The sequence below is a fragment of the Homo sapiens genome, chromosome 8 (assembly GCF_000001405.40).
Source record: "Homo sapiens chromosome 8, GRCh38.p14 Primary Assembly".
NCBI lineage: Eukaryota > Metazoa > Chordata > Mammalia > Primates > Hominidae > Homo > Homo sapiens.
In genome coordinates this window covers 119,953,567-119,977,170 of record NC_000008.11, presented here as the reverse complement: position 1 = coordinate 119,977,170, position 23,604 = coordinate 119,953,567, and the positions used below count along the sequence as shown (strand labels likewise).

The 23,604-nt window shown below is 44.4% G+C and overlaps 1 protein-coding gene across 2 annotated transcripts in view, besides 1 other annotated feature; it reads right to left on the bottom strand.

The window, feature by feature from the left end:
* The window catches only part of DEPTOR (DEP domain containing MTOR interacting protein), a 177,197-nt gene that overhangs the window by 73,748 nt on the left and 79,845 nt on the right, over positions 1 to 23,604 (bottom strand). For both annotated transcript variants that reach the window (NM_022783.4, NM_001283012.2), the window contains one exon: positions 11,761 to 11,939. In NM_022783.4, coding sequence (NP_073620.2) covers positions 11,761 to 11,939 — 179 coding nt within the window. The remainder of the gene's footprint in view (positions 1 to 11,760; positions 11,940 to 23,604) is intronic.
* Positions 6,160 to 6,340: a silencer, noted in NCBI's record as "fragment chr8:120983071-120983251 (GRCh37/hg19 assembly coordinates)". NCBI's record gives its function as "represses an EF-1alpha promoter that drives an FKBP-Casp9 reporter gene in an ReSE screen in HepG2 liver carcinoma cells {active_cell/tissue: HepG2}" and the evidence as "EXISTENCE:reporter gene assay evidence [ECO:0000049][PMID:32094911]".

The window sequence follows — 23,604 nt, the reverse complement described above, 5'->3', positions numbered from 1 at the left end:
AAATTAGCTGGGTGTGGTGGCACGTGCCTGTAATTCTAGCTACTTGGGAAGCTGAGGCAGGAGAATCGCTACAACCCGGGAGGCGGAGGTTGCAGTGAGCCAAGATTGCACCCCTGCACTCCAGCCTGGGTAACAGAGTAAGACTCCATCTAATAAAAAATGGCATAAAATTTAAAAAGAGAGATAACAGTATCAAGTGCATTGATTGCTTGTGAAGATTAAATGAGTTAATAGCAGTAAAGAACAGCCTGCCAAGCACTCATTTTCCTGTGGAAACAGGGCTTGCTTTTTCTTTTTTCTTTGCAGGGTGTGCGGGGGGAGGGTGGAACAACTACCCCCATTCTCCCACTTGGTGAATCTGTCAGTCAAAGGGTCCCCACCCAGGGTCAAGAGGTGAGCCTGTGACCCGACCCAGCCAATAAGGGTCCTCTCTAGAACATTAGCATCTGGAGACGGCAACTGCATATGCAGAAAACAGAGCTGATTCACCTGGCCATAGGTGGCTGGAAGGGATTAGTTTTTAGTCACTAGTTCCTGGTTCCTGGATCCCCAGAGTTGCTTCAGTTTCTCTTCTTCAGGTAGCCTTGTTTTCAACATTTCCTTTAACTATCAGCTGGCTCTGCCATATATTTAAAGGAAGTGATGATTGGAGCTGCTTCTATTCAAAGAAAGCTTGCTGGTATAAACACCAGTATTGTGCCCAGCAAAGGCCAAGTCCTCAGTAAGTGGTCACTTTTGTCACTTGTTCATTCAATACATTTTTGCTGATACGATATATATATATCGTATTTTTTGCTGATACGACATATATATGCGCCAAACCAATAGGAATACAGAAATGAACAAAACAACTTCTCTATCCTTAAAACATTTACTCTCTAGTTAGGGGTAAAGAAAGGCTAAGACACAGGGTGCCATCTGTAAAGAAGTCTCCTCCATTTCTTCTTCTTGACTTGCAAGTCCTCTTGGCAAGAAGTTAGCAAATGCAAACCAGAGAGCATGAGTAGGGGGCTGGGAGTGGTGGCTCATGCCTGCAATCCCAGCATTTTGGGAGGGCCAGGCAGGTGGATTGCCTGAGGTCAGGAGTTCAAGACCAGCCTGGCCAATATGGTGAAACCCCGTCTCTATTAAAAATACAAAAATTAGCCCAGTGTGGTGGCACACACCTGTAATCCCAGCTACTCAGGAGGCTGAGGCAGGAGAATCACTTGAACCCAGCACAATCTCGGTTCACTGTGCTCCAGCCTGGGCAACAAAGTGAGACTCCATCTCAAAAAAAAAAAAAAAAAAAAAAAAAAAAGGAGCAAGCATGAGTAGGAGAGCAGGAGAGCCATGATAGAGAGGAAGGGCGGGTGGGCAAGCAAGGCTAGGTCGGCACTGTTAGACGCTCCCCTGGACCAAGCTTCAGTCAGGCTCCTTTGAGCCCTCTTTTCTACTGGGCCTCCACCTTGCTGCTCCCTTCCCCTCCACTCCACCCCTCATCCTGCTGTCTTGGCTTACCCAGCCCAGTTTTAGCAAATAACCCTGATAAGTCAGTATACTGAAAATCCCTCACCCTTGATACCCAATCAAGTTTGTTATCTCCACCTTTGATTTCTAAGTCCTTGGCCTGTCTTGAGCAAGAATCTCTCTGCCCTAAGTCTCCTATTTAGTAATTTTCCATCCACTGACCGACTCCGCACTGTGCTCCTTGACTCTAAATCCCTACTTGTCCCTATATTTTAAGTTGAGCCCAATCTGTCTCCCCTATTGCAATACCCCTATTGTAATTATCTTAAACAAAGTTTTCCTTACTTTTCTAACAAGTGTCAATAATTTTTTTCTTAATGCCATATAGTCTTGAGAAAGTTGCAATTGATGGGGCTCAGGACATGCCACCCTGAAATATGGCTACCTGGCATAAGGATTGTTTGGTACTGGTTATTTTGAGAAGCTGCAGACACAGCAGTAGCTCCAAAAAGTTGTCCTTTCAAAAATGTACATCTGTAAAGGAAATGTCCTTTTGTCCTTTTTAAAAAAATTTTTTTTTTTTTTTAGAGATGGGATTTTGCTATGTTGCCCAAGCTGGTCTCAAACTCCTGGGCTCCAGCAGTCCTCCCGCCTTGGCCTCTAAAAGTGTTAGGATTACAAGTGTGAGCCACCATGCAGAGCTAGGAAATGCCCCTCTGTAAAGGTCTCTCCCTCTCTGCACCAGGAACAGAAAGAAAATTAAGTCACTAGAGACTCGTAATAAATAAAGAAGGTGTTGACCTAAGTCTGCATAACAAACCATACATTTGTATAAGGTCTTTTTCTGACCCTCTGGTTTTAACTGGGTTACATCTTTTTTTCTTTGTTTCAGGGAATAATGGTATTTAAGCCTGAAGTCTGAACTACCCACCCCCCCACCTTTTTTTTTTGAGGCAGAGTCTTGCTCTGTCGCCCAGGCTGGAGTGCAGTGGCACGATCTCAGCTCACTGCAACCTCTGCCTGCTGAGCTCAAGCAATTCTTGTGCCTCAACCTCCCAAGTAACTGGGATTACAGGCACACACCATCAAGCCTGCCTAATTTTTGTACTTTTAGTAGAGACGGGGTTTCACCATGTCAGCCAGGCTAGTCTAGAACTCTTGGCCTCAAGTGATTCTCTCGCCTCAGCCTCCCAAAGTGCTGGGATTACAGGTGTGAGCCACCACGCCTGGCCTGAACTACTCTTTTGAGATCTATCCTAGAGATTTACTCATTTCTCTGGATTTTCACCCATATTTACAGAGGGCATACATATTAAACTTCTGTTCATTTTTCTCTTGTTAGTCCGTCCTTTGTTACAGCAGGTCTCAATTAAGAACTCATGAAAAGTAAAGAAAAAATTATTTTTCCTCCTCGGTGTAATCTTGCCTTTAGCCTCAATCATCAGTACCTTCTTTCTCTTTTTTTTTTTTTTTTTTTTTTTTTTTTAAAGAGACAAGATCTCACTATGTTTCCCAGGCTGGTCCCGAACTCCTGTCCTCAAGCAATCCTCCCCACTCAGCTTCCCAAAGTGCTGAGATTACAGGCATGAGCCACCACACCCAGTTAGTACCTTCTTTTCCTTCCTTCCCTCTCCTCTTCCCCTTTTTCCCCTTTCCTTTCCAGCTGGGCTATTCCAGGCTTAGGCTGATCTCTATCAATTATCTTAATTATTGGAGAGATGCAGTTAATTTCTGTCTGGATGTGGCCTCTAGCTTCCTTTGCTGCAGATCCCAAATTCTCTCTTCATGGCCAGCAGAGCAAATGTCTCTGCTACTGTCTTCCACTGAAGGATGAGATAATCATAGCTACTCTCAAGCAACTGGGAGGATTAAAAAGATAATGTATGTAAAACTGCTTTGTATATGGCACAGTATGATATAAATATATGTTTAAAACAAAAGAAAAAGAAAGAGGGCTTAGTGTTGAAATTGTTGAAGTGCTCTGACTAAAGTTCTAAAACAGGAAATTATCCACGCAGACACAGCAGCGGTAGCCTGGTAGGCCAGGGTCAGCTGCTGCAGCTGTGAGCAATTTACCCACATGATTATCTGGTTTCCATCTCCCTCCATTTAAGGCTGCTAAAATAGCTGGATGGCAACTAAGGGAGTTGGGAAAGATAACTTATGTGAGTAAAGAAGTGTGTTCGGGCCCTTTGCAGTGGCTCACACCTGTAATCCTGGCACTTTGGGAGGCCAAGGCTGGAGGATCGCTTGAGCCCAGAAGTTCAAGACCAACCTGGGCAACTTGGCAACAACCCCCGTCTCTATGAAAAATTAAAAAATTAGCCGGGTGTGGTGGTGAGCACTTGTAGTCCTGGCTACTCAGGAGCTGAGGTGGGAGGACTGCTTTAGCCTGGGAGGTCAAGGCTGCAGTGAGCCATGATCATGTCATTGCACTCCAGCCTGGTCAACAGAGCAAAAACCTGTTTCAAAAAAAGAAAAGAGTCCAGGTGCAGTGGCTCATGCCTGTAATCTCAACACTTTGGGAGGCTGAGGTGGGCAGATCACCTGAGGTCGGGAGTTCGAGAGCAGCCTGACCAACATGGAGAAACACTGTCTCTACTAAAAATACAAAATTAGCCGGGTGTGGTGGCTCATGCCTGTAATCCCAGCTACTCAGGAGGCTGAGGCAGGAGAATTGCTTGAACCTGGGAGGCGAAGGTTGTGGTAAGCCAAGATCACACCATTGCACTCCAGCCTGGGCAACAAGAGCGAAACTCCGTCTCAAAAAAAAAAAAGGTATTTATCCCATTTCCCATTTGCAAATGTTACCCAAAAATCTCAAGGTCCCTGGTCATTGTTTGGAGGAAGAGAATATTGTAGATTTCAGAGGTTAATAATCTTTATAGTATAAATATCTGCCAGGCTATGTCGGCTGATTCAGCTGATGCAATAGAACTTGAGAATTTTTTTCTAGTGGGGCCTGCAGTTAGCATCTCATCTTCTTTAGCGGTTAAGAGTGCAGGCTCTGAAGCTAGACTGTCTTGATTTGAATCTTGAATCTACCACTCACTAGCTCTCATCTTCAGCACATTACTTTTTTTTTTTTTTTTTTTTTTTGAGACAGAGTCTTACTCTGTCACAAAGGCTGGAGTGCAGTGGCATGATCTCGGCTCACTGCAACCTCTGCCTCCTTGGTTCCAGCAATTTTCCTGCCTCAGCCTCCCAAGTAGCTGGGACTACCGGCACATGCTACCACACCTGGCTAATTTTTGTATTTTTGGTAGAGACAGAGTTTCACTATGTTGCTTAAGCAGGTCTTGAACTCCTGACCTCAAGTGATCCGTCTGCCTCAGCCTCCCAAAGTGCTGGGATTACAGGCCTGAGCCACAATGCCCAGCCTTCAGCATGTTACTTAACCTCATCTCAAAAATGAGAATGATTATGATACCTAACTGACAGGGAAATACATACGTGAATAGAGTTGTTAGAACAGTGGCTGGGATATAGTAAGAGCTCTATACATTTCACCTATTATTTAGAGTAGATCAGATCATGTACAAGAGCTAGCATTTGAGGGCCATAAGAGGTAGATGCTGTGTTAAAAGCTTTTGCCAAGTGCAATCACTTAATTCTCCCAACAATTCTGTGCAGGAAAGAGTTACCATAGCAGCCCCAATACGGAAGGGCCGGCTTATGGGGCTGGCCCATGGCTAGCACCTGGGAACTTGGCTTTTGGAAGGTTCCCAAGTCACTAACTGATAAGGACCTTGCCCACCTGGTGCACTGAATTGTGTTGTATCGGCCTGCCTAGACTGTACAAACAGTGTGATTTATGGAGAATACTTGCTTTCCTTCTGAGAGTCTGCAATGTTGCTGGTTGTGGCTGGCTGAGCAAGCAGAGTATACCTATGAGAAAAGCCCCCAGTAAGAATCTTTGGCTCTGCACCTCAACATGGGTATTAGGACTCAGAAACAGACACCCCAAAATATAGCACTTTGATATGCTGAACTGAAGAAAAATCTACGATGTCTCCGACCTTCTCCCCGCTTCTGCCCCTCAATCCTCTGTGTCCCCCAAAGCACTGGATAAAGGTCTCTGAAGTTCCTTACCTGCCTAAGTCTGGACCTGCCAAAGAAGAAAACAATTTACCTCTGGTTCCTTCCCTGAGTTTTCATTAACTGAACTCATATGACAGGAAGAAAGACTGAAGTCTGTGGACAAACCTGGTCAGACTTTTGCCAGGTCTGCTCTGCTGACCCAATGGACTTAGTAGCAGGCCCTTGTATATTCTTCAAGCCTACTGAAGCCTCCTAAAAATCAATCACACTTCCTCATCTCCCGTTCCTCTAAGAAGTAGGATAGGTAGCCTCTGTACCCCATTGGAATATTAGGTAATCACTCTGGTTCTCCTGGTGTACACACTAATAAATTGGTTTGCTTTTTCTCCAATTAATCTGTCTTTTGTGAGTTGATTTTTCAGCCAACCTTCTTTTTTTTTTTTTTTTTTTGAGACGGAGTCTCGCTCTGTTGCCCAGGCTGGAGCGGTGGCGCAATCTTCGCTCACTACAAGCTCCGCTTCCCAGGTTCACACCATCATCCTGCCTCAGCCTCCCGAGTAGCTGGGACTGCAAAGCGCCTGCCACCATGCCCGGCTAAGTTTTTTTGTATTTTTAGCAGAGACGGGGTTTCACCGTGTTAGCCAGGATGGTCTCGATCTCCCGACCTTGTGATCCGCCCGCCTTGGCCTCCCAGAATGCTGGGATTACGGGTGTGAGCCACTGTGCCCGGCCGATTTTTCAGCCAACCTTCAGATGGCAAAGGGGATGTTTTCCCTTGGCCCCTCCGAGGGCTCCCCGGTGGAGATATTGCACACGTGTTACTGCATTTCACGGCTAGAGAAGGGAGTCCCTTCAAGAAGGAAGAACATAGGAAACTGTGCCTGGATTTCTCCACACTCCACCCGATGTGCCCTTTTCTCTTGCTGACCCTGCTGTGTATCCTTTCACTGTAATAAATCTTAGCCACGAACACAACTACACGTTGAACCCTTCTAGTACACACTGAACTTGTGGATGTTCATAGGTCTCTGAAAAAACAAACTCTCAAAGGTCTATTATGTAACTCTAATTTTATAGTTTCAAAATCCGAGGAATGGGAAAGTTATAAGATGCAGACGTGGCCACTTAGTAGGTGAAAAAGCCGCATCTAAATCCAGTCTGTCTCCTTCCGAAGACTGTGCTCATTCCATCATGCCAGGCAGCCATACCCAGTCACATCCCAGACCAAGGCAAGCTTCTTTCTAAGACACAACACCTAGTAGCTACAGGGTAGCTCTGGAACTTGAGAAAAATCTGTTAAAGGATTTGAAGACCAGATTTCTTCACTGTAAATCTGCAATAATAATACTAATGCCACAAAATTGCTGTGAGGATTTAATAAGTACAACATACAAAGCATATGTGTGAAGCACACACATATTAAATATACAGTATATTAAGATCTATAAAGTAGCCTAATGCCTTTATAGATGGTACACATCTATAAATTAAAAAGCTAGACAAATATGTATAGATGTGGTCAACATACAGACATTTGTATAAATATGTACATATACATGCATATATATATATCCACATAAATACACATGCATGTTAATTATTCATCTAACAATTTCTGCCTTGAGTAAAGCGCACCAGTCACCATTCATAGATGAAGCTAGTTAGGATTTCACAGGTAAGCCTGATTTTTACACTTACTGGTTTCAAAATAGGGAACCACTTTTATCCAGAAACCTTCTGCTCAAAGCCTAAAGGCTGACTTTCCTTAATGTTTAACCTATGAAATTAATTATTAGCCAGACAATTAAAAGCTTTGCTCAAGACACTAACTGGTACTTACCATGAGCTCTAACATACACAGGTATGGTAGCCATATTTTCATAACTCCAAGTTACAACCTGTGACCTATCAATGAATTACTGTGCTGGGAAACTGAAACTCCCTCAGAAACCCCAGTTGCTATGTAGAATATTCAGTACTCCTACAATCACGGGAAGCATACTTCGGTGGTTAAGATTTATTATCGGCCAGGCACGATGGCTCACGCCTGTAATCCCAGCACTTTGGGAGGCCAAGGTGGGTGGATCACCTGAGGTCAGGAGTTCGAGACCTGCCTGACTGACATGGTGAAACCCTCTGTCTACTAAAAATACAAAAAATTAGCCAAGCATGGTGGCACATGCCTGTAATCCCAGCTACTCGGGAGGCTGAGGCAAGAGAATTGCTTGAACCTGGGAGGTGGAGGTTGCAGTGAGCCAAGATCGCACCATTGCACTCCAGCCTGGGCAACAAGAGCAAAACTCCATCTCAAAAAAAAAAACAAAAAAAAACAAAACAGATTTATTATCAAAAATGCATTTGTTTTATCCTTTACATTGTACCTTTATGGTGTTTCTGTTTATAGCATTACAGAGTTACACTGTAATTGAAGCATAATTACTTATCCCTTGGAAATCATTTAGAAACCATTCACAGCATCCTCTATCTTCTTTCTAAAGCCAAGGATATACAGTGTGGGTCAGTACATCATAGTATAAGAGGCTGGTTTTCTCCTAGAAGTTGGTATCATCTGACTTTTTTTTTTTTGAGATGGAGTCTTGCTGTGTCGCCCAGGCTGGAGTGTAGTGGCGTGATCTTGGCTTACTGCAACCTCCACCTCCAGGGTTCAAGCGATTCTTACTGCCTCAGCCTCCCAAGTAGCTGGGATTACAGGCATCCACCATGACTCCCGGCTAATTTTTGTTTTTATAGTAGAGACGGGGTTTCACAATGTTGGCCAGCTCGCTGAGCCACCATGCCCAGCCTCATCTTACTTTTTCTCTGTAGAGCAAAGATATGAAAGAACCAACTGTAACCCAAACCTACCATTTTTCACTGGGGAAAACCCCAGTCATCCCACCCAACTCCAAGGTCACACTTACTAGCAGTAATATCCATTTGGACATTACTACCTGAGTGGCCTCAGACAAGTGATTTATCCTATTGGTGCCTTCACCTTCTGATTTGTAAAATGGAGATAATAAAAATACTGGCCCTATAGTATTGTACATCTAAACATTTGTTAAGAAGGGAGCTCTCAGGCCAGGCATGGTGGCTTACGCCTGTAATCCCAGTACTTTGGGAGACCGGGGCAGGCGCATCACTTGAGGTCAGAAGTTCAAGACCCACCTGGCCAACATGGTGAAATCCTGTTTCTACTAAAAATACAAAAATCAGCTGAGTGTGGTGGTGCACAGCTACTCGGGAGGCTGAGGCAGGAGAATCCCTTGAACCTGGGAAGTGGAGGTGGCAGTGAGCCGAGATCTGCCCCTGCATGATCAGAGCAGTAACTGTCCCAAAAAAAAAATAATAATAATAAAAGAAGGTAGCTCTCATATTAATGTTCTTATCACAATACATTTTTTAAAAAAAGAATATCTACCTCATAGAGTTTATTTATTAATAAGTTAATAAGGGTAAAAGGATTAGCACAGTGCCTGGCATATAGTATAAAATAAATAAATAAATGAAATAGATAGCACATCTTCTACTGTTCTCTAATTGCTTCTATAACCATCTCATAGTCCTGACAATACTATGAACTGCTTAAGGTCAGGGATCACACCAGCACTGTGCTTCCCTGTCCATCTTCCTTTCCTCAGTGAACTTAAACCAGAGCTAGACATGTTAGGCCACCAACAGACAGCTGTGAGTCCAACTGTGGCAGAACTGCACAGGAGAAAGCAGCCTGGAATACAGTGTCACTCACTCCAAGCAATGCCTCTAGATCCATGGCTTCCAAAATATTTGACTCCAATACACAGTAACAAATAATTTTTAGGTTGTAACTCAATATACACCTGCATATGTCCCTATGTTTTATAGTGTATATCTAAATGAAATAAAAGTACTGTAAAACAATACTTACTCTTTTTTTTTTTTTTTTTTGGGACGAAGTCTTGCTCTGCCACCCAGGTTGGAATGCAGTGGCACAATCTTGGCTCACTGCAACCTCCACCTCCAGGGTTCAAGCGATTCTCTTGCCTCAGCCTCCTGAGTAGCTGAGACTACAGGCACACACCACCACACCCAGCTAATGTTTTGTATTTTTAGTAGAGATGGGGTTTCACCATGTTGGCCAGGCTGGTTTCGAACTCCTGACCTCAGGTGATCCACCAGCCTCAGCCTCCCAAAGTGCTGGGATTACATAAAATCTTAAAATATTACTCTAACTTTCCCTCTGCCTTTCTGTGTAAAAACAGGCCATAAAGAAATTATCTGACCTACGTTGGTTAACTGTAGGTCATAAGACTCCCATTCCAAGCCGGGCATGGTGGCTCACACTTGTAATCCCAGCACTTTGGAAGGCTGAGGCAGATGGATCACCTGAGGTGAAGACTGTAAGACCAGCCTGGCCAACATGGTGAAACCCCATCTCTACTAAAAAATACAAAAATTATCTGGGTGTTGTGGTGCACGTCTGTAATCTCAGCAACTCGGAAGGCTAAGGTAGAAGCATCACCTGAACCTGGGAGGCGGAAGTTGCAGTGAGCCAAGATCATGCTACTGCACTCCAGCCTGGGTGACAAAGAGAGACTCAATCTCAAAAAAACAAAACAAAACAAAACAAAACAAAAAAGACTCCCATTCCAGAAAGGGTCCTGCCCTACACCCAGGAGGAATGAATGCTGCAGAGAGGCCAAAAAGAATCTATACAGACAGGCCTTGTTGGGCTGCTCTACTCAGTCTATTAACTTTAGATCATACCCTTTTTGTCCAATCATATTTCTACATAACTGTCCATACTTTGTTGAACATAAGCATAACAATGGATGATTTTCCCTGTATCTCTGGCTTTTCATTCTGAAGGCTGCCATACATGTTAATAAATTTGTATGCCTTTTCTCCTATTAATCTGCCTCTTGGGCCCGGCATGGTTGTTCACGCCTGTAATCCCAGTTCTTCGGGAGGCCAAGGTGGGTGGATCACTTGAGGCCAGTAGTTAGAGGCCAGCCTGGCCAACATGGCAAATCCCTCCCCTAAAAATACAAAAATTAGTGCACCTGTAATCCCACTGTAATTCCAGCTACTCAGGAGGCTGAGGCATGAGAATCACTTGAACCTGGGAGGCGGAGGTTGCAGTGAGCTGAGATGGTGCCTTTGCAGTCCAGCCTGGGTGACGGAAGGAGACTCTGCCTTAAACAAAACAAAACAAATCTGCCTCTTGTCAGTGATTTTCAGCAAACCTTCAGAGGGCAAAGGGGAAAGTGTTCTCTTGGCCCTTACATGTATAACCTACGCACATCCTTTTGTATACTTCAAATCATCTCTAGATTACTTCCTGAGTAGCCGGGATTACAGACGTGCACCACAACACCCAGCTAATTTTTGTATTTTTTAGTAGAGATGGGGTTTCACCATGTTGGCCAGGCTGGTCTTGAACTCCTCACCTCAGGTGATCCACCCACCTCAGCCTCCCAAAGTGCTGGGATGACAAGTGTGAGCCACCGTGCCGGACTTGGAATGGGAGTCTCATGACCTACAGTTAACCAACGTAGGTCAGATACAATGTAAAATACCCGATACAATGTAAACACTCTGTAAGTAGTTGTTACATTGTACTGTTTAGGGAATAATGATGAAAAAATGTCTGTGTGTGTGTAGTTCAGACACGACTTTTTTCCAAAGATTTTAAATTCATGGTTGGTTAAATACACAGATGCAGAACCCACAGATACAAAGGGCTGACTAAAACACTTCTTAACCAGTAACTTACATTGCATCATTATGATTTGGCCCTAAACGGAAAGTGATACTTTTATGAAGGCTCTTTGGCTTAACTCTTCACTGTGGCAGCTTACATCATGGTTCAGGAAATGTTTATTCTCTAACAACCAACCTTCTGGGAGGCATCCACTTCCCAACTCCATATTATACTTGACTTCATGACTTGCTTTAGCCAGTTAGATACAAAGTTGTGATGTTACATCACATCCAAGCAGCAACTTTTGGAAGCGCTATAAGAACCTGCCTGCCCTCTTTAGCATCTGCAATAATTTATTAAAAACAACACATCACAGACAGTGGATATTCCTTTAGTCTGTGTCCCAGAATGGAAAGGCGTGGAGCACAGACCTGAATTTGACCCCCAACTTGGAGACAAGCTGAACATAAGCAGAGGTGCAGCTGACTTACAGATTCATGAGTGAGAAATAAGTACGTGTTGTTGTAAGACACAAGATTTGGGGCTGGCTGTTTGTTCCTGCAGCAAAAGCTGCCCAATACGCTCACCATGCTGGATGATGCCATGCTCCATAAGCCGGTGGCAAAGCTGCTCTGCCTCTTTCCTCGTGGTGGCCTCACCTTCCTGAACCAGCCAGTCCAGGAATTCAGATGCCATGAAGGTGCGCTCATACTTGACCCCTTCCTCCTCCCTGGGCTGCAGGAGTGTGTTTTCAGGGCTCATCAGCCTGGGAAGAAAAAAAGGGAAAAGAAAAGTAAACCTATACGAAAGGAAAACAGCTCATTTGAAATCATAGATTTCCATGAAGTACTACAGCAAAGTTGTCAGACAGACAGATGCAGCTGTCAGGTGCCACCACACATGTAATTTCTTTTTTCTTTCTTTGAGACAGATTTTCGCTCTTGTTGCCCAGGCTGGAGTGCAATGGCGTGATCTTGGCTCACTGCAACCTCCGCCTCCTGGGTTCAAGCAATTCTTCTACCTTGATCTCCCGAATAGCTGGGATTACAGGCATGTGTCACCACACCCAGCTAATTTTGTATTTTTAGTAGCGACAGGTTTTCTCCATGTTGGTCAGGCTGGTCTTGAACTCCCAACCTCAGGTGATCCACCCGTCTCGGCCTCCCAAAGTGCTGGGATTACAAGCCCAGCCTACCACACATGTAATTTCTAATTGCTTCAGAAGCAAACAAGATGCATTTTCTCCTAGTAATTTCAAAAAAAAAATTGGAAATGCAATCCAAAACTCTACGATTAGCAGACTGTATTCAAGTTAGCAATCTTGAAAAGAGGTTACAATTTCATGTTCTATTCTACCATTCTGAAAAAGCTAGTATTTCTTTCCTAATTGCATTATTTCACTTCTGTGCTAAGAAGACAAGTGCTGTGAACTGAGTGTGTCCTCACTAATTTTTTTTTTTTTTTTTTTTTTTTTTTTTTTTTGAGACGGGCTTTCACTCTTGTTGCCCAGGCTGGAGTGCAATGGTGCGACCTTGGCTCACTGCAACCTCCACCTCCTGGGTTCAAGCGATTCTCCTGCCTTGGCCTCCAGAGTAGCTGGGATTACAGGCACATGCCACTACACCCGGCTAATTTTTGTATTTTTAGTAGAGACGGGGTTTCACCATATTGTCCAGGCTGGTCTCGAACTCCTGACCTCGTGATCCGCCCATCTTGGCCTCCCAAAGTGCCAAGATTACCAGCGTGAGCCACCGTGCCCAGCGGTCCGTGCTAATTACATATGGTGAATCTCTAGTCGCTAATGTGATGACATTTGCAGGTGGCACATTTGGGAGGTAGTTAGGTTACAAGGCTGGAGCCATCGTGGTGGCATTAGTGCCCTTATCAAAACAGACAAAAGGGAGCTTGCTCTCTTTCTCTCTCTCTGCTCTTGCCACGTGAGAACATAGCCAGAAGACAGCCATCTGCAAACCAAGAAGCAGGATCAAACCAAGAAGCAGCCACCTGCAAACCAAGAAGCAGGTGTCACTGGATCTGCTGGCACCTTGATCTTGGACCTCCCAAACAAATGTTTGTTGTTTAAGCTACTCAGCCTATGGTATATTTTGTTACAGTAGCCTGAACTAAGACGACTACATAGGTGACTCTTTTGAAATCCTCCCATACCCACATAGCTTGCTTCTCACACCTGTCTTCCCAGGCATTCCTCAACTCCTCTGGATTCCATTTTCACATCTCCAAAATAGCTCCAACTGGGCCTATAAGTGTTCCCCTATGCATCCATATATGATGCAATGTAACACAAATGTCAGTCCTTATTCTGGTTGACTTTAATACCAGTATATGGGTCCAGGATTGGTAGCTCACACCTGTAGTCCCAGCACCTTGGGAAGCTGAGGCTGGTGGATCACTTGAGGTCAGGGGTTTGAGATTAGCCTGGGCAACATGACAAAACCCCATCTCTATTAAAAATACAAAAAAATTAGCCAGACACATTGGCACATGCCTGTAGTACCAGCTACTCAGGAGGCTGAGGCAGGAGAGTTGCTTGACCCAGAGGCAGAGGTTGCAGTGAGCCGAGTTCACACCACTGCACTCCAGCCTGAGTGACAGAGGGAGACTCCGTCTCAAAAAAAAAAACAAAACAAAACCCAATAGTAGAAGGTACTGACCACTGCCCTTGGCTAGGGGGACATCAATCACACTCTATTGGTTTTCGACCTGCCCTCTGCTCCTACCTCTTACTCAGCCATCCTTGTGTTGGCTTATCTGCATCTCCCTGGACTTTAAAGGCTGGAATTCCTTGAGATTCAGTCCCTACATACCTCTTTTCTCATTCCATAGTCTCTCTAGTGAGCTCCTCCATTTCCTGTCTTCGATTACTATCCACATTCCAGATTCCCAAATTTATATTCCCAGACCAGGCCTATACTCCCAACCCTACAGCTTTGCATCCACATAGATTTCTCAAAGCCATCTCAAAATCAACAAGCCCAAAACTGAGCTCACGTTCTTCCTTCCAAACCCGGTCCTGTGCCAGTCAATGCTTACATTGTCCAGCCAGAAAATGAGGCATTGTCCTTGGCCCCTCTCTCTTCCTCACCCCCTGCCCAGTCATCAGCATGAACTGTGAACTTGAACTCCTAAATCTCTCTCATGTATGTCTAAGCCTTCCCATCTCAGGCACTGCCACTACCTTAGTCTAAAACACCAATACTTTAACCTAGACAACTACAGTGTTTTCTTAATTGACTATACTATGCATCCACTCTTATTCTCAACCCAACCTTGGACCCCTAAGTCTACACATAGCTATTAAATTATCTTTTAAAAATTCAAACCTGATAATGTCCTTCCCCTGTTGAAAATACACTTCAATAGCTTCTCATTGCTTTTAGGATAAAGACCAAAATTCTTCACATAGCCTATAAAGTATGCGTGATCCTGCCCTCTTTCAGTTCCTCAAACATACCATGCCCCATCTACCACAGGCCTTTGAATTTGCCATCCCCATGGCTAGAATGCTCTCCCTCTCTTCTCCCCACCACACCCTCCCATGCCTACTTGACTTCTTGTTTTGCATCTCGGTTATGGTCAGGTCTCAATTAGACCATCTCATTGCTCCCTGTACAGTTTCTGTGATTATCAGATTAAAGACAGGTCAATTATAGGCTCCAAGAAGGTTGAGTCCATGTTTGTCCATAAAACTTTGGGGTTTTTTGTTTTTGTTTTGTTTTGTTTGAGACAGAGTCTTGCTCTGTCACCCAGGCTGGAGTGCAGTGGTGCAATCTCAGCTCACTGCAACCTCCACCTCCCAAGTTCAGGTGATTCTCCTGCCTCAGCCTCCCAAGTAGCTGGAACTACAGGCATGCACCACCATGTCCAGCTACTTTTTTTTTTTTTTTTTTTTTGTATTTTTAGTAGAGATGGGTTTTCACCATGTTGGCCATGCTGGTCTCAAACTCCTGACCTCAAGTGATCTGCTGGCCTTGGCCTCTCAAAGTGCTGGGATTACAGGGGTGAGCTACCACACCTGGCCCATAAAACTTTGTTAAATTAAAAATTGAACCATATAAAATGTCACGGTCATTGTGTCATCTTCCTCTGTAAAATTATTCCTGATGAGTTCCTGTCTTCCATATGAAAGTCTGGCTGTCTCTTTTAAAAACTTTCATTTCCTTTGAAACTAATAATAATATACAATACAAATTGAACTATTTCATTCTAGAGTAGGAAGAAACCTTGGAGATCATTGTAGTCCAAACCCTCTTTATTCACATGAGAAAAATGTAGTTCCCATTCAAATGAGAAAAATGGAACTGCAGCTTTCAGTGTGGTGGGAAGGAAACTTGCTCAAGGTCATGCAAACACTCACTCTATACCTATCAATCATTGCATTTGGAGGTAATTAAGCCCTGTACCTGAATGCCATATGATGTTTATTTTCAATGCTTTTAGACTCAGAGCCCAACCATGCTGTAGAAAGAACACTGGACAAGGAATTCAAAGATTTAAGTTTATCCCAGTGAGTCACTTAGTAGCTTTGAGATGTAAGGCAAGCCACTTTTTTTTTTTTTTTTTGATACGGAGTTTCACTCTTGTTGCCCAGGCTGGAGTGCAATGATGCAATCTCAGCTCACCGCAACCTCTACCTCCCAGGTTCAAGCGATTCTCCTGCCTCAGCCTCCCAAGTAGCTGGGATAACAGGCATGCACCACCACACCTGGCTAATTTTGTGTTTTTCATAGAGACGGGGTTTCTCCATGCTCATCAGGCTGGTCTCGAACTCCCAACCTCAGGTGATCCACCCGCCTCAGCCTCCCAAAGGGCGGGGATTACAGACGTGATCCACTGTGCCCAGCCACTTTTCTTTTATTCAGCCTTGTTTTTCTCAAGAATATAATGGTAGAAAGAACATTTGACTATGCATTCAAAGATTTAAGTTTATCCCAGTGAGTCACTTAATAACTTTGAGATGTAAGGCAAGCCACTTTTCTTTCTTTCTTTCTTTCTTTTTTGAGATGGAGTTTCACTCTTGTCACCCAGGCTGGAGTGCAATGGTGCAATCTCAGTGCAACCTCCGCCTCCCGGATTCAGGCAATTATCCTGCCTTAGCCTCCCAAGTAGCTGGGATTACAGGCACGTGCCACCAAGCCCAGCTAATTTTTGTATTTTTAGTAGAGACGGGGTTTCATCATGTTGGCCAGGCTGGTCTTAAACTCCTGACCTCAGGTGATCCGCCAGCCTCAGCCTTCCAACGTGCTGGGAGCCACTTTTCTTTTATTCGACCTTGTTTTTCTCAAGACTATAATGGTATCCTTACCCAGCTCTTGTGAAAATCATGAGTGTGAATGAAACAACTTTGTAATAAGAAATAATGTACAGTGTACATAAAGTGTTATGCTATGTAAGTAATCATTGTACCTACATTGGGGCAAGATGAATTTCTGCCTTCATAGCTATGAACTGATGAAAATGGAGATTCCTTTAAGGTCCCTTCTCTCTTCCTAGAAGAATGATTAGAGTTCTATTTGAAATCCATGGAAGGGACTCAGGATTAGAAATTAGGTGCCTGGGACCCAAACACAGCTCTGCTACAAACTAGTCATGTACCTTCTCACTGTCTCCCAAACTCATATTAAATGAGGAAGATAATACCTGTTCCACTTCCTTCACTAAATTGTTGTTATCATCAAAAATCTTGGGGGCAAGTGAAGTTCTAAGTATATGAATGTATACTGTTTTTTTGTTTTTTGTTTTTTGTTTTTTTTTTTGAGAGGGAGTCTTGCCCTGTTACCCAGGCTGGAGTGCAGTGGCATGATCTTGGCTCTCTGCAACCTCTGCCTTGCAGCTTCAAGCAATTCTCCTGCCTCAGCCTCCTGAGTTGCTGGGATTACAGGCGTGTGCCACCATGTCTAATTTTTGTATCTTTAGTAGAAATGAGGTTTCACCATGTTGGCTAGGCTGGTCTCGAACTTCTGACCTCGTGATCTGCCCACCTCAGCCTCCCAAAGTGCTGGGATTACGGGTGTGAGCCACTGCGCCTGGCCCATGAATGTACACCCTTATTAAGAGTATAAGAGTATACAAGGTATAAGCATCTAATAGAACTCATTAAAGACCTTCTCATTCAGCATGTAACAGAAGTCATTTAAAAATCTTATTTAGAGGCCAAGCACAGAGGCTCACACCTGTAATCCCAGCATTTTGAGGCCAAGGAGGGTGGATTACTTGAGGTCATGAGTTTAAGACCAGCCTGGCCAACACAGTGAAACCCCATCTCTACTAAAAATACAAAAATTGGTTGGGTGTGGTGGTGCATGCCTGTAATCCCAGCTACTGTGGTGGGAGGCTGAGGCAGGAGAATCACTTGAACCTGGCAGGCAGAGGTTGCAGTGAACCGAGATCGCACCACTGTACTCCAGCCTGGGTGACAGAGCAAGACTCCGTTTCAAAAAAAAAAAAAGATTATTTAGATATTTTCCCAAATCAAACCTCTTCTGCACTTTAATCCATGCTTAGAAATAGCCAACAGGTGGCCGGGCGCAGTGGCTCATGCCTGTAATCCCAGCACTTTGGGAGGCCGAGGCAGGTGGATCACAAGGTCAGGAAATCGAGACCATCCTGGCTAACACGGTGAAACCCTGTCTCTACTAAATTTACAAAAATTAGCTGGGCGTGGTGGTGGGCGCCTGTAGTCCCATCTGCTGAGGAGGCTGAGGCAGGAGAATGGCGTGAGCCCGGGAGGCGGAGCTTGCAGTGAGCCGAGATGGCGCCACTTCCCTCCAGCCTGGGTGACAGAGCGAGATTCTGTCTCAAAAAAAAAAAAAAAAAAAAAAGAAAGAAAGAAAGAAAAAGAAATAGCCAACAGGCAACAGGCTTCTTTCCCAAAGTTAGTAACAGCAGAGTTGGTATAAGCGATATGAATTTTATTTAATATAATAATGGACAACCCCTTCTTAGAAGGTGGTAAGGACAACTGTCACACGTATGTCAACACAAGTGACAGAAACATAAAAACACTCTCTAGGAAACTGTATGCAAAGATGGACACAGTAGTTCCTCATGTGTCTTCCAGTGTGACTTCATTGCTTCTCCCATCCAGATGCTGAGTCCATTTCTATTTCCCTTGAACTTGGGCTAGCTTTGTGACTTGCTCTGACCAACGGGATGCAGTGAAAGTGAGGTTATTCTTCTTCTTTTTCTTTTTTTCTTTGAGATAGAGTCTCGATCTGTCACCCAGGCTGGAGTACGGTGACGTGATCTCGGCTCACTGCAACCTCTGCCTCCCGGGTTCATGCTATTCCCCTGCCTCAGCCTCCTGAGCAGCTGGGATTACAGGTGCATGCCACCACACCTGGCTAATTTTTGTATTTTTAGTAGAGATGGGATTTTACCGTGTTGTTCAGGCTGGTCTCAAACTCCTGACCTCAAGTGATTCACCCTCGGCCTCCCAAAGTGCTGGGATTACAGGTGTGAGCCACCATGCCCGGCCACGTTATGCAACTTCTAAGGTGATAAACTTGGCCTAGCTTTGTGACTGGCTTTGACCAACAGGATGCAATGAAAGTGACATTATGCAACTTCTAAGGTGAGGCTTTAAGAGGCCTTACAACTTCCACCTTTGCCCCTTGGAATGCCCTCCTGAAATCACCATGAAAGGGGGCAGGTCTAGCTTATTAGAGGGGAAGAGGCCACAGGAGGAGGACCAGGTTGTCCAAGCAACAGCAAGCACCAGCTCTCAGACATGTGAATGAGGGCATCCTGGACCTTCCAGCCCAGCTGACCCTTCAGCAAGCAGATGAATGTGCCCACATGAAACCAATAGAGTAACCACCACGCAAACCATGTAATCAGAAGAAATAACACATCATTGTTGTTTTAGACTGCTAAATCTTAGTATGACTTGTTTTGTAGGAATAGATAGCTGGAACACATTTGTATGAATAAGCAGTGGCAAAGATACATGAAACCACACACACTGAGGCATGTTACATAGCTCGGAAAGTCACAACAGAATGATGGATGAACACTGAAGTTCCAGGGAATAAACTGAATAGAATAAAGCCACATGGAATGATGACAAGAATCTAGAAAAGAAAATAGAGGCCGGGAGCAGGGGCTCACGCCTGTAAAATCCCAGCACTTTGGGAGGCCAAGGTGGGCGAATCACTTGAGGTCAGGAGTTCAAGACCATCCTGGCCAACATGGTGAAACCCTGTCTTTACTAAAAATACAAAAATTAGCCGGGCATGGTGGCGCGTGCCTATAATTCCAGCTACATGGGAGGCTGAGGCAGGAGCATCGCTTGAACCCAGGAGGCGGAGGTTGCAGTGAGCCAAGATTGCACCATTGCACTCCAGCCTGGGCGACAGAGCAAGACTCTGTCTGAAAAAAAAAAAAGAAAGAAAGAAAGAAAAAAAAAATAGAAGGACCCATGTGCATGCCCAGGCAAGAAATACCACCATTCCTTCATTTCTTTTGACCCTCAAATAAGCTGTCTTGGAGGACAAAATGGAAGAAAAACTAGCGTCCTCAGTTTTCTGGTTTTAGATATCACTTTCTCTAAGAAATCTGCAATTCCTACAAATCTGGACCATGTACCATTTCTAAGGTCCCTCTCGAAGCCTAGGGGAATTACTTGCTCACTTGATTAGAAGCTTTTTGAGACCAGAGTCCCTGTCTATGTGGTTCACAGTTTTTTCCTAGCACAGTAGGTTTTCAAAAAGCTAAGTGAATAAATTAAATTTAATTATATGCATTCTCCTGCTATACATCATTATCCAAGTATATACTAAAAACAACCCCAAGCTGGGTGCAGTTGCTCACTCCCACCTGCAATCCCAGCACTTTGGGAGGCTAAGGCAGGAAGATCCCTTGAGCCCAGGAGTTCAAAGTTGCAGTGAGCTATGATTGTGCCACTGCACTCCAGCCTGGATGACACAGCAAGACCCTGTCTCTGGCCAGGGACAGTGAATCATGCCTGTAATCCCAGCACTTTGGGAGGCCAAGGCAGGTAGATCACCTGAGATCAGGAGTTCAAGATCAGCCTGACCAACAGGGTGAAACCCCGTCTCTACTAAAAACACAAAAAAATTAGCTGGGTGTGGTGGTGGGTGCCTATAATCCCAGCTGCTTGGGAGGCTGAGGCAGGAGAATCACTTGAACCCAGGAGGCAGACGTTACAGTGAGCTGAGATTGTGACATTGCACTTCAGCCTGGGTGACAGAATGAGACTTCATCTAAAAAAAAAAAAACAAAAAAAAAAAACAAAAAACCCTGTCTCTTAAAAAAAAAAAAAAAAAAGGAGACCTGTGTGGAGATAATCAAGAGACTTTGGCACTATTGATAGTCTCCATTTAAGACACAGACACAGACTCCTGGCCTTTATCCCTGGTTCTGACCACTCTGTCCCTTCCAGTTCAGTGAATTTCCTTTCAGGGAATGGGGAGGGCCAGTGGATGGGGTTAACTTGTGTCATTTCTTGTAACTAGAAACATGACCTGCCAGCCCTCTAGAGCTCCTACTAAGTATCTGGTGGCCTCTGGACAAGTGACTGGTTAGCTGCTTCTGCCAGTGTGAGCTTTAGGACTGAGGCCAGCTGGCATGCCTGCCTGGATTGGATCAACTTGCCATTTACAACATGCTCCACCAGCCTTAGCGCTTCCTTATTTCACTTCCCCTTATAATCAACTAATGTCCCCATCCAGGTTCTTATTTTGAAGACCACGCCTTTCGTGGGATTTTATTTTAGGATTAATATGTAGTCGCAATGTTAAAGCAAGAGTTTGACTTACTACTTGTTGCAATTATTTTTGCCATATGACAAGCTACTCCCAAACTTGGTGGCTTAAAATAACCATCATTTAATTATATGTTAGTATTGTATGCATTGTCTGGGGTTCACCTGGGCAGCTCCTCTATGACTCTAGCTTGGGATCACTCACAATTACATGCAGATGATGGCCAGAAGTGGATCGTTGGCTCTGCGGTACCCCTCAAAATAGCCTCTCTCCAGTAAGGAAGTCTGGACCTGGTGATGCGGGGCTCAAGAAAGAGGAAGCAGATGCTGCCAAGATGAGTTCTTCTCCTTCTCTTCTCCCGCACCCTCCCCTTCCTTCTTCTTCCAGCTTTACTCAGAGATAATTCACATACCATACAATTAACCTATTTAACACGTACAATTCAGTGGTTTTTAATATATACCTCATGCCTTATATAAAAATTATGTCAGCAGGGTGCAGTGGCTCACACCTGTAATCCCAGCACTTTGGGAGGCCAAGGTGGGTGGATCACCTGAGGTCAAGAGTTCGAGACCAACCTGACCAACATGGAGAAACCCCGTCTCTACCCAAAATACAAAATTAGCTGGGCGTGGTGGCACATGCCTGTAATCCCAGCTACTTGGGAGGCTGAGGCAGGAGAATCGCTTGAACTCAGGAGGGAGAGGTTGCGGTGAGCCAAGATCACACCATTGCACTCCAGCCTGGGCAATAACAGCGAAACTTTGACTCAAAAAAAAAAAGAAAGGAAAAAAATTATGTCAAAATGGATTATGGAACTAAACATTAAGAGCTAAAATTATAAAACTCCTATGTTTGAAAGAAAACGTAAGTAGCAAGTTTCCATAGGCTTGGATTAGGCATGTTTTCTTAGATAGGAGGCCAAAAGCACAAGCAACATAACAGAGAAATAGACAAATTGGACTATTTCAAAATTAAAAACTTTTGTGCTACAAACAATACCATCAAGAACAGAATGGGAGAAAATATTTGCAAAGACTATGTCTAATAACAGATTTGCATCCAGAACATAATAACTCTTAAAATTCAATCATAGAGGCCGGGTGCAGTGGCTCATGCCTGTAATCCCAGCACTTTGGGAGGCCGAGGTGGTTAGATCACCTCAGGTTGGAAGTTCAAGACCATCCTGGCCAACATGGCAAATCCCTGTCTCTACTAAAAATACAAAATTAGCCAAGTGTGGTGGCGGGCACCTGTAATCCCAGCTACTCAAGAGGCTGAGGCAGGAGAATCGCTTGAACCCAGGAGACGGAGGTTCCAGTGAGCCAAGATTGTGCCACTGCACTCCAGTCTGGGCAACAGAGCAAGACTGTCTCAAAACACACACACACACACACACACACACACACCAATATTTGCCTGCTGCAAGCACTCACCAGGTTTTGCTTGTGCATGTGAGCTGATTTCCACCTTTCCTGGATCTATATCTGACTCAGATTTCCCAGACCCGTATTAACCTAGAGGGAAGGCAGCACTACAATAGAAGGAACTACTACATTTAGGGGCCAGTACAAGAATAGAAATAAGCTGATAGCGATCTCCTTGTACACTGGGAAAAAAAATTCAAAAGAGCTGAGGAGGCCCTGTGTAACCTGGGAATAGATGTGAATGATGTACAGGAGCAAAAGCCAGGGAGGGAGACAAAATGGCCTGTGGGGCTTAGGTCAAAAAGATGCTTCAGAATTTAGAAAGAGAGCTTTAAAAAACAAGTCATGTGTTAATATGATCAATTATTTTTAAAAGCAAAACAGACTGGGCATGCTGGCTCACACCTTAATCCCAGCAGTTTGGGAGGCCAAGGTGGGAGGATTACTTGAGCCCAGGAATTCAAGACCAACCTGGGCAATATGGCAAAACCCCATCTCAACAAAAAATACCAAAAGATTAGTTGGGTGTAGTGGCACATGCCTGTAGTCTTAGCTGCTCAGGAGGCTGAGGTGGGAGGATCACTTGAGCCCAGGAGTTTGAGGCTGCAGTGAGCTGTGATTGCACCACTGTGCTCCAGTCTGGATGACAGAGTGAGACCCTGTCTCCAAAAAAAAAAAAAAAGTTAATTATTCATTCACCCAAATATTAAAACCATTACCTTGGCCAGGCATGGTGGCTCACGCCTGTAATCACAGCACTTTGGGAGGCCAAGGCGGGTGGATCACCTGAGGTCAGGATCTTGAGACCAGCCTGGCCAACATGTTGAAACCCCATCTCTACTAAAAATACAAAAAATTAGCCGGGCGTGGTGGTGGGCACCTGTAATCTCAGATACTCGGGAGGTTGAGGCAGGAGAATTGCTTGAACTGGGGAGGTGGAGGTTGCAGTGAGCCAAGATCGTGCCACTGAACTCCAGCCTGGGTGACAGAGTGAGAATCTGTCTTAAGAAAAAAAAAAAAAAAAAAGAAGCTATCTGACCTATCTTGTTTGACTGTAGGTCATAAGACCCCCATTCCAGAGAGGGTCTTACCCCACACTCAGAAGGAATGCATGCTCAGAAAGGCCAAGAAGAATCTAGATAGACGGGCTTTACTGGGTTTCCCCACTGAGTCTATTAACCGTAGATCATACCCTTTTTGTCCAATCATATTTCTTTCTTTCTTTTTTTTTTTTTTTGAGACAGAGTCTTGCTCTGTCACC